The sequence below is a fragment of the Homo sapiens genome, chromosome 7 (assembly GCF_000001405.40).
Source record: "Homo sapiens chromosome 7, GRCh38.p14 Primary Assembly".
In the NCBI taxonomy this organism is placed as follows: Eukaryota; Metazoa; Chordata; class Mammalia; order Primates; family Hominidae; genus Homo; species Homo sapiens.
This window is the reverse complement of record NC_000007.14, coordinates 106,370,680-106,382,417: the sequence shown is the minus strand read 5'-3', so window position 1 is coordinate 106,382,417 and position 11,738 is coordinate 106,370,680. Positions and strand designations below refer to the sequence as shown.

General features: G+C 44.6%; 1 annotated feature.

Moving 5' to 3' along the window:
• Window positions 7,733-7,946: a silencer, noted in NCBI's record as "fragment chr7:106014918-106015131 (GRCh37/hg19 assembly coordinates)". NCBI's record gives its function as "represses an EF-1alpha promoter that drives an FKBP-Casp9 reporter gene in an ReSE screen in K562 erythroleukemia cells {active_cell/tissue: K562}" and the evidence as "EXISTENCE:reporter gene assay evidence [ECO:0000049][PMID:32094911]".

The window sequence follows — 11,738 nt, the reverse complement described above, 5'->3', positions numbered from 1 at the left end:
GCCTCCTCTTTCTCCTCCTCCTCCTCTTCCTCCTCCTCCTCTTCTTCTTCCTCCTTCTCCTCCTCTTCCTCCTTCTCCTCCTCTTCCTCCTCTTCCTCCTCCCTCTCTTCCTTCTCTTCTTCCTCCTCCTCCTCCTCTTCCTCCTCCTCCTCCCAGGCCTGGGCCAGTGCCAGGAAAGTAGAGTGACCAGCAGACAGGTCCTGCATGGCCCAAGGGAGAACAGTCACCAATATCTAGGGACAGGATTCAAGAGGACAACAGAGAATGTAAAGGATAATTTTTACTTGTTAAGGCTTTTTCAGGCTTGCAGTCTGGCTTTGAAGATGGCAGTTAAGATGCTATGGGCAGGAAGAACATTAAAGTACTATGTGATGATTACACATCTCTTTTAAACGATGCTCTTGATTTGTAAAATTCTGCAGAACTTCAGAAATCTCCAAATGTCTCCAAATTCCAATTTTTCAGCATCTAAATGATATCTCCCACACTGCCTCTCACATCTGGAAAAAGCACAAAACCCTTTGTGGACAATATGACTGGCTGATTGTCTTTGAAAATGATTCCTGTAGCTATTCATAGATGTCATGAACTCATTTGTCCAACATGTGTATAAGCACCTATGTGTGCCAGTCTAATACTGTCACTGAAAACACAAGGAAAACGGCCCAGGAGTTATAGACGAGTAGTTACAGATATGTCTGTAGGATCTGAGTTCCTAATACACAAAATTGGAAAAGATATATGCAGCGGAGGAGCCCACCATTCCCACTGCTGTACCTGTTGAGATACATCATTGTAGTGAAGTTCCCTGAGCACATTTTCCCCACGCCATCAAATCTAGATTTGAGTCATTAGACCAAAGAACACAGCTCCACAGAAGCACTTGCCTATTTTGACCATCAGATGCTGTGATCACAGTTGCTGAAAGTAGAGTCCCTGGAGAGATCTGATAAGAAAGCAAAGACTGGAGAGAAGGGATGTCAAACTGCTGCATCGTGGTGGCAGATGTGCACATGGAGGGAACACAGAGGGGCACACCAGAAACATCCTCAAAAAACAAACTGCTCACTGTGGGAACTTAAAGTCTATGGAAAGCTAAGTGACTGCACCCCATGTGTGGTAAGTTAGGACAAGTTGCTTGTCTCTGATGCTCTGTCTCCTACATATTGCTGTTTGCTACCCCACCCCCCAAAAAAAGCATTTTTATTACCCCTCTCCATACACTCATTCTTTCTTTCCCACAGTGTACTTAGCCCTCTGAGTCCCTTTCTTCCTTCAAAGAACAGGGCCCCGCAAGCCTTTGCCCTTTCTCGTTCTATGCAAAGGATAAACCTTACTAAATGTAACCTATGTTTGCAAACTTGGTGTCCCCCACTAACTTATATATAGTAGGTCCTGGCTTCCCTCTTTGAAGACCCTATCCGCTCTAGTATATCTGGGGACAAGGGTTATCTCACGAAGCTACGCCATTAATCTGCAGCCACAGTTGTGCCTGCAACATTCCTTCCATCCATATCTTTAGCTTCTGCTCCTCCTCAGATCTCATTTATTTTGCTGCCAGTCCCTCCCAGAGTTGTCCTGTGAGCTGTTCTTGTGATCACTGAGGCCTCTAATTCCCTCAATAGCATGGCTAAACCTAAGCTTGAATGAGTAACAGGACTTTAGTAAAGATTTGGAAATGGCACACAGGAATGATCACTTTGAGAAAGTCAAAACTGATACTAGAAATGTGGAATCATAAAGTTTACAGGCCGAGCCTCTCCACGTACAACCTTTATTGGGCACCTCTCAGCCCAGCTCCCAGCAAGCTTCACTAGTCCTAGACTCTGCATTTCCTCCCACCAGAGAGAGGGGAAGAGGCCTCCAGTTTTTCTCTTGCCCATAGGGTTCTTGTCTGCAATCCTGGTCTCAATATTCCCCAGGTTCTCTCTGTTTTCTCCCCTTTGTGCATGATTAACAGCTGAAATGTCCTTCCCATTCAGGGAGAGTTGGTCTTACCTTGGACAATGAACTAGGAGGCAGTAAATTACACATCAGTCCTTTTCCAAAGTCTGAGTTAGTATAGAATGTCGCAAATAGTGCTGCTTCAAACAAGCCCCACTTTAAATCTGGGCCCCCTGGTGATCTCTTCACCAGCCTGAGTAAGGATAGGACTCCAGTGCCCCACACTCACCCCCGAGAGCTTCCAGCCTCCACTCCAAAAAGGACATCCACATATTTTTCAAGAAAGCAAAACAATTTTCATAGGCTCTGCAGAATAAATCTTTAAACATTTTCCTGTAGAAAACAATTTGCAGAACTGCAACACCATCCACGATGAAAACAGCCTTTTATGTTTTTGTGCATGACACCGGAACCCCTCGGAAAGGCAGGGTCTAAATTTCTGTATTTGAGAATATTTACTTTTCCTTTTAATAACTAAATATCCATTGTAGTGTCTTTCCAGAACAAAGGAATATTTACCCCAGAGGACAATATTTGTCCCCCTGTTTTATAATACATCACACAAGAAAAGCTTTGAAAGTACAGGGTTTTTGTTTTTGTTTTTTTTCCAAGATTTCAAAGATCCCAAGATAAATTCTTTGTTAGGGATCAAGATCAAAGAGTTATGCCTTTCCTTTCCCCCAGGAGTCTCTGCCAGAAGGATGTTTTTCCCAAGCATATGGCCTAAAGTGGGGAGCCTGCATCATGTTTTGTCAGCAGGGTTACACAGATCCGTGATGGGGGAGGCATGGGGAGCTCCCGGAAAGGTCTTTAACATCTGCGCCCGGGCAGCAGGGCCTTGGTGTAAAGGCAGATGCTAATGACCATAAGCCAGGTGCCCTGATTATAGTTTCACATCCACCAGGGCTTGGAAAGCTATTAACTCCTAATCCCCAGCCCCTTTTCGGTCATCCCTTGTAGAGGCTAGCTCCAGAGCTGGTGGAACCCATGGCAGTGTGTCCATATCCGTGTATTCACTTTTAGGTTTGTAAATTCAGATATGGCAGGAATCAAATTCCTATAACCCCCTCTCTACACAGAGCATCTCACATGCACAGTCCTAGAATGCTAAACTTAGATGGAACCTTAGAGTTTCTCTAATCCAACCTCATCATTCATTCAGATAAATTAATTGAGGTCCAGAAGTAAACTTGTATTGGCAAAGTTGCAGAGTTGGTTCACCCCAGAGCGGAGACATACCCACAAGCCTCCTGTGTTCTTCCAGGTATTCTTCCCTTATAGCAAGGCTTTTTTGACGATGGCAATATGATGAAATACCGAGCGAAAGCCCTACAGGTTTTATCATTCACAAACAGTTCCTAAGAGACTTCTACGTTCCAGGCCCTGTAGTAGGAGCTGGTTCTGCCGTTAAAGAGCTCACAGTCTAGCCTTCGAGAAAGTTAATGACTCCCTAAGAAAGGTTCTATGACGGGACATCTAGTAGTTTAGGGGCACCAAGTAGAGGCACCTTCCCAAGCTGAAAACTATACTCTCATTCTGAATTTGACTACATCTAGATAGCTGAGGACTTTCTGAAGGTAGTAGTTTTGCTTTAGGGGCATTTAAACATGGCTTGCTAGATCTCTCATGGTTGCAGTGAAAAAAATTTAAAAATAGGCCGGGCATGGTGGCTCATGCCTGTAATCCTAGCACTCTGGGAGGCCGAGGCGGGTGGATTGCCTGAGCTCAGGAGTTCGAGACCAGCCTAGGCAACACAGTGAAACCCCATCTCTACTAAAATACAAAAAAATTAGCCAGGCATGGTGGCATGTATCTGTAATCCCAGCCACTCTGAAGACTGAGACAGGAGAATCACTTGAACCTGGGAGGCGGAGGTTGCAGTGAGCCGAGATCACACCACTGCACTCCAGCCTGGGCAACAGAGGGAGACTCCATCTCAAAAAATAAAAATGTAGAAAAGAAAACGTTGCCTACTTGTGCAGGTAAGACCTCGGTGCTGCAGGAGGGCAATGGGTCCCTCTGCTCCGACTCCCTGCGGTGCTAAGTTAGCAAGTTATGTCCCAGCAGCTCCAAAGAGGACTAGGTATGACCAAGCCTGGCAACCCACCCCCAGGCACCATACCCAGCCTCTGGATGAGGCTGCAGATTTCCCCTTATGCAAAGAATGTTTGTACAGCTCTGGTGGGGCAGTGTCTCATGCTAGCAGAAGCCAGTCAGTGCTTAGTAAGGTGACATTGCATTTTTGATGCCCAACCTTGGCACCAGGAATTGGGCAAGTGAGGACAGTCTGAGTGCCTCCCGAGGGAGGGTCTCTGGGAACTGTTAATCCTGGCTTCCCAGGAGGTGCGGGAGTCTGAGCAGAGGAGTTCCAGAGAGCAGTGTAGGCCAAACCACAAGCCAGGAGCACCCTGAGGAAGGGACTACATCCCACACAGTCAGCCAACCTCCAAGCCATTCCACCTCCCAAGGAGCTCTTGATCTCTGAAACCACCAACTTAGATGGGTACTGAGAATGGGAGGAAAGGATACAAGAAGTGTGTCAAAGTGAAAGTAAAAAACATGATGGTTAAGACAGGTTCTGGGGAGAGGGGGAGCAGAGCAAGATAGCGGGATAGAAGGCTCCACCAATCATGCTGCCTGCAAGGACACCCATTTAACAACTACACCAAAAAAATCACCTTCATAAGAACCAAAAATTAGACGGAGTTCTGTGATTGCCCTAAGCACATCTGCAATAGGATGGAAATGAAACTGTGGATTTGTACTTAAAAGAAACTAAAGAACTAGTTTTAAACTACTGGAAAAAAACAGAGCATACACTCATATGGTATTTTTAAAAAAATAGAGCACAAGTTCTGGGGCCAAATCATCTTGGTTCAAACCATGGCTCCACTTACTGCCCCTGTAACTTTGTGCAAGTTGATCAGTATCTGGGCTGTAGTAAAACAGGGATAACAAAGTACCTACCTTATAGTATTATTGTAAGGCTTCCATGGATAAAGGTATGTAAAATGCGTGGTCCATTATAAGTATTTAATAATACTAGCTATTATTAAAGCATAAGACATAGTCCTTGTTTCTAAATTTCTTACAATCTAATGAGAGGGATGAGAAAAATCATATAGGAAACAATAGCAGAAACATAAAATAATATGTAACTCAGTTTCAAACTGTATAGTTCAAACTCTAAGATCTGTGAAAATTAGCATAGAATTCTTCTTAGATTGTCTCTGGATAATGCCCAAATGAGGGAGATATAGGGGGGTTAAGTGGGGAGCACTGTGGCAGAGTGGTCAAGAGCTTGGGCTTCAGAGTTAGACAGCACAGTGTTTGAATTCTGGCTCCACCAATTACTAGCTATGGAATCTTGGGAAAAATGCTGTAATGGTTAATTTCATGTGTCACCTTGACTGGGGCCCGGGCTGCGCAGATATCTGGTTTATCATCATTCTAGATGTGTCTATGAGGGCATTTTTGGATAAGATTGACATTTAAGGCCAGGCACGGTGATTCATGCCTGTAATCCCAACACTTTGGGAGGCCGAGGCACACAGATCACTTGAGGCCAGGAGTTCCAGACTAGCCTGGGCAACATGGTGAAACCCTGTCTCTACTAAAAATACAAAAATTAGCCAGGCATGGTAGCACATGCCTGTAATCCCAGCTACTCAGGAGGCTGAGGCAGGAGAATCACTTGAACCTGGGATGCAGAGGTTGCAGTGAGCCAAGATCTTGCCACTGCAAAGTGGAATCTCACTTCATCCAGTGTGGGTGACAAAGCAAGACTCTGTCTCAAAAAGAAAAAAGATTAGCATTTAAATTGGTGAACTGAGTAAAGCACATTGCCCTCCCTGGTGAAGGTGGGCCTCATCTAATCAGTCAAAGGCCTGAGTAGAATAAAAGAGCTAATTAAGGGAGAATTTGCTATCTGCCTGATTGTCTTCTAGCTGGGATGTTGGCTTTCTTCCTGCCTTCAGACTCAAACTGAAATATCAGAATTCCCTGAGTCCCAAGCCTGTCAGACTTCAGAGACAAGAACTGCACCATCAGCTCTCGTGGTTCTCAGGCCTTCAGATTCAGACGAGAACTAAACCCATTGGCTTTCCTGGGTCTCCAGCTGGCCAACTCACCCTGCAGATCTTGGGACTTGCCAGATTCCATAATCACATTAACTACATTTTATCTGTGTTCAGATGTGATTATGATGTGGTTGTTTCTCTCTTGATCCATTTTGCAGTCACAGAGTGTCCTTGTCTGATGTTGATGTTATGTTATATAAGATTGTTTACATTCCATGAAAGAACACCAGGCCCAGCGGGGAGGGTCAGGCCAGCTCCTGGATGTCAAGGGTTACCTTGTTCTTTTTCAGGAGCTTCTAAGAGAAATCAACTGAAGGCCACTAACAGACCCAAATTGCCTTCTGAGGGGCTAGAAGTGGAAAACTTTCCATTTCAGTCTTTTTTTTTTTTTTTTTTTTTTTGCTGCTTATTGAGAAGTTGCTATTATTTATCAGATTAGAAAATTTGTTTCCTTCATTCCAAGAAATACATCAGGATTTGGTTCAGAGCACACAAGCAACACATATAGCCTGTAACAAATGAATTAGAATGTGTGCAGTTCCAAGTGTCAAGAGGATTTTCATCACTCTGGGAATTGTCAAAGGAGCTGATGGCAGTGCATGTTTCAGTCACAAGCCAGACTTTTGGTGTGTGCCCAGGAGGCCTGTGGCATGTGACAAGTCTCTGGGGCAGCCAGTTGGACACACAGCTCTCTCTGCCATCCAGAGCTGTTTTGCAAAGAGTTTCCTTTACTGTCTCATAGGTGAACTGCCGTAAAGGTACATTCACTTTGTGTCATGACTATGCACTACAGAAATTACAACCCTACTTTCCTCATTTATTGCACCCTTGTCTAGGCTCACACATGTGTCTTCTTCATAGGTGCTATGACAACCTCACGTAGGGTTTCAGATCTTTCAGACTCTCTGCATTTTCCTTGTGGAGGACTAATGAAGCCTTGGAGAAATGCTGTATAACAGTGTCTTTTTGCTCTTGACCCCCTTATTTTGAGTTTTGTTTTTTTTTTTTTTTTTTTTTTTTTGAGATGGAGTCTTGCTCTGTCACCCAGGCTGGAGTGCAGTGGCACGATCTCTGCTCACCACCAGCTCCACCTCCCTCCCAGGTTCATGCCATCCTCCTGCCTCAGCCTCCTGAGCAGCTGGGACTACAGGCGCCTGCCACCACACCCGGCTAATTTTTTGTATTTTTAGTAGAGATGGGGATTCATCATATTAGCCAGGATGGCCTCGATCTCCTGACCTTGTGATCCGCCAGCCTCAGTCTCCCAAAGTGCTGGGATTACAGGCGTGAGCCACAGCGCCCGACCAAGCTTTTCAAAACTGAGATCAGTTCAGGTGTTCCCAGGGGTCTTCGTTTGCTTTCCAATCAATGTGGACCTCCCCAAAGGTAATTCATAACCCGATATGTGTTCCTGTAGCCTCACCTATCCAAAAACATGAGATACCTTGTCTCCCCAATGCTGAAGGTAGTTTTTCCTTCTACTATACACATTATCATTGATTTCTTATTTATAATTACTGACTCAGGATGCTATCAGCTAAAAAATTGAAAACCCAACCAAGTGTGGCTTAAACAAGGAGAAAAATGTATTCCTTCACGTAACAAGAAGTCCTAAGTTAGGACAGTTTCAAATAGGTCAATTCAGCAGCTCTATAACACAATTAAGAACACAGGTTTTTTTTTCCCCTCTTTCTGTCTCTCCACTCTAGTCAGCACACTGACCTATCCTCTTGGGCTGGCTTCCCTCATGGTGACCAAGATAGTGGCTCCAGACCTCATACTCTCACATAGTAACCACATGACAGAAGATGGGAGCCAACACTATCCTTTACTTAGGCACCTACTTAAAAGATAGGAGAACTTTACCTAAAGTCCCACAGCTGACTGTGCATCATGTTTCATGGGCTGGAATTGTGTCCCATGTCCATTCCTCAACCAAACACTGACAAAAGGGATGGAACTTAGATCACTGACTTAATCAATTCACTTCCTTGGGCTAAGGAATGACCTGGCCTCCCCATAAAGGAGATAACTACCAGATGTATTTTAAAAATCAGCGTCTGTTAACAGAGAAGTAAATTGGAGAATGACTCCTGAGTAGAAAACAGACAGAACCTACCATTCGCTATCTCCAAAAGAAAACTCAGGTCCAATAGTGCCTGTACATGCCACAGAGCAGTGCAACACAGACCCCTTTGCAGATCATCCACTTCCAGGTTAACTCAGAGGCAGTCATATTTCACCTGGAAGCTGCTACCAAAGCCAACACAAAGGAGGCCAGAGATGAGACAAAATAAAATAATCTTTTGTTTTAAGTACAGGCTACAGAATGTGTCTCTGAGAGAAATGGAAGTAGGACATAAAGGACGTAAGATTATTTGAATTGTGAATTGTGCTTTCCTAAGGATCTAACATATAATGCTGTAGTATTTTAACCTTCTTGTATCACATGCATCATAATGCATGGGCTTATTATAAGCGATGTTTGATTGTAGTCTGACTTTCCCAAGTTTGCAATAAATGCAATTTTGGATTGGAATAAAAATTTAGGGCAAAATCTCCTTGGTTACCACAGAGCCAAGAAGTAGAAGGATTCTGAGAATTGATTCCATTAGGTATAGCTGTGCCTGTCAAGATGAGGAAGGGCTTTTGTTTTGTTAATGATCCTGGATCTTGTTTCTCCATGCCAGACCTCCCCTACTGATGCTAGAAATCACTAACATCTGACTGTGAGATTATTTTCAATTTTGAATAACTACAAGTTTCCTTTTATTTGACAGCTGCTTCTCCAAAGGGTACTGAGTACACTCAGGTGACTGGAGTATCTACTCTGATGTTCTTATCACCCAAAACTGTTTCCACACTTACATAAAGCACGCTACATGATCTCAGCCAGGTGCCTAGAAGCATTCTGTATAGATGAGTCCTTGTCCTTTGATCCAGTTAATCCAATGCCTCATAACAATAACCATCCCACAATGCAGTGGCTTAAAACAACCATTTTATTTTGCTCACAATTGTGTGGGTCAGGAATTTAGGAAGGGTTCAGCTAGGTGCTTGGTCTGTGGTCCACATGGCATCAGCTAGGGAAGGCAGGGCTGGGAGACCACCTTATATATGGCTTCCTTACTCATGAGTCTGGCACCTTGACCTCTCTCTCTACACAGTACCTCCTCCTCCAGGGCCTCTCCACATGGGGATTGGGCTTCTCACAGCACATTGTTCTCAATGTGCCCTATTTCTTACACGGTGACTGGCTTCCAAGATGCAGGAAGCAGACGTTATCAAACCAATTAAGGGCTGTGCCTGGAGCTGCTGCAGCATTATTTACATTCTATTGGTCTAAGTAGTCACAGGGCTTTCCCAGGTTCAAGAAAGTGCAGAGAAAGAGTCTCAGCCTTGATGGGATTTGGCAAGGTAACTATATTACTCTATCTTGCTATAAAGGCATACTTGAGGCTGGGTAATGTATAAAGAAAAGAGGCTTATTTGGCTCACAGTTCTGCAGGCTGTACAAGCATGACTCCAGCACCTGCTTCTGGCTAGGACTTTAGGATGTTATTTCTCATGGTGGAATGTGAAGGGGAAGCAGGCATGTCACGTGGCAAGAGAGGGAGCAGGAGAGAGGTGTGAAGTGCCATACTTTTCTACAACCAGCTCTCATGTGAACTAATAGGGCAAGAACTCACTCATTACTTTTGGGAGGGCACCAAGCTATTCATGAAAGATCCACCCCCAACCCATGACCCAAACATCTCCCATCAGGCCCCCCATCCAACACTGAGGGTCAAATTTAACATGAGATTTGTAGAAGACAAACATCCAAACTCTATTAGTGACATTTCAGAAAGGCATATAGAAGGTATTATTGTGGCCATCTTTGGGAAGCACAATCTACCATATCCTTTTACTTATTTTAATTGTGTAACAATTCTCTCTTCCTTTCTATTAGACAGGCTTCTTGAGGATAAACCATGTGTGATGCTCTTATAAGAAGCCACAAATACCCTGTATGGGATGTCACAAATATTCATCAGTAAGTGCTGACCAACTCAAAGGCTTAAAATTCAACTCATTGATGAATCACAGAAGATCCAATGACTGACTCAGATCCACCCACTGTTCTTCAGTCCGTCTTACCCTTACTGGTAGAGCAAAACTATACCAGAGAGACCCTCGTTCCTTTTAAACCAAGCCTGACTGCCAAGACTCATGGGAGCCACTGATGAGTATCACATCTAGGGAGAAGGACATAAAGATGACTTCAAGGACTTGGAAAGTTCAAAGGGAGTGATAAGATAAAAGATGAGAAAGGCAAGAGAAGGGAAAAGACAAGAGAATTTCCAGCACCAGAAACTGCTATGAGTTAAGCAACAGGACTTTATAAAAAGGCTATCTGAAAGCTCGCAGAGTCACTGAGAGGCTGGGGACTGGACTCAGAAGAGGGCAGGAGTGTGGGAAATCTGGTACAACCAGAACAAAGCCAAAGCCATACCACAGAATCAGTCCAGGGAGGACACTGTGCCACTGCCTCTGTTCACCGGATGCCATGGCTTGCATGGTTGCTGCCTGGATCACTGCTATTGCTACCCTGGAAACCGGAAGTGCTATTGCAGCTGCCTCCACCCATGACAGTGATCATGTGCTGTGCCTGCTCCCTAGTGCTGTTCCCAGAAAGGTGCATCTGACTGGCTGAGTGGGTCACATGTCCACACATACCGCAAAGGGAAGCTAAGAGAGTGAGTACCATTGTCAGCTTCTTTCCCCCACCAAGGCTCATAAAATGGTGTTCCCTAAAATAGACAGGAAGTTCAGATGATGGACAGCCAAATCATGGACAAATGTCCACTTTATAACCATTATGGATAGTTTATTCCCTAACCATTTGTGGAGACCCTGCCATATGCCAGGCACTATTCTAGGCACTAAGAATACAAAAATAAATAGGAAAGACATGGGGCTTATCTTTTTGTGGGGTGGGGGAGGGAAGACAATAAATAAGGTATTTCAGATAGTGATAAATGCAATGAAGAAAATAAAGTTGTGTACTAGGATACAGGGTCACTGGGGAATGTATGGATATGTGTGGAGCATGGGGAAGTGGGCAGGGATTACTTTAATGGGATGGTCAAGGAAGGCCTCTCTGAGGAGGTAGGGGGAATTGGTCAGAGATCTGAAAGATGGGATGGAGTCAGACAACGAAAAGGCCTGGGGAAGAACCTTCCAGGAAGAGGGAGAACAGAAGCAAATGTCTTGAGGTGGGCATACATGAGCACCTCTGAAGGAAGAAACAGGAGCCGCTGTGCCTAGAGCAAAAGGAGCAGCAGGGAGTTCTGAGACAGTGTTGGAATGGCAGCCTAGCAGTATCAAGGTCTCCCTAGTTGGTGTGAGAGCAGGTGTAACAAAGGACACTTTACACCTGGAGGCATGGTCCCCTTTTTTATGATGGTGGCAGTGCTGGCTTAGAAGTAGAATTCAGAATGGTTTTGTGGATTTTCAGAAGTTTTCAATCTTCTTGGCCACGATATGCTATAAGAATATATTTTATTCCACTACCCAGCACACACACACGCACATATGCGTGGCTGCTGCCCGGATCACTGCTATTGCTACCCTGGAAACCAGGAGTGCTTCTGCAGCCGCCTCCACCCGTGACAGTGATCATCTGCCGTGCCTGCTCCCTAGTGCTGTTCCCAGAAAGGTGCATCTGACTGG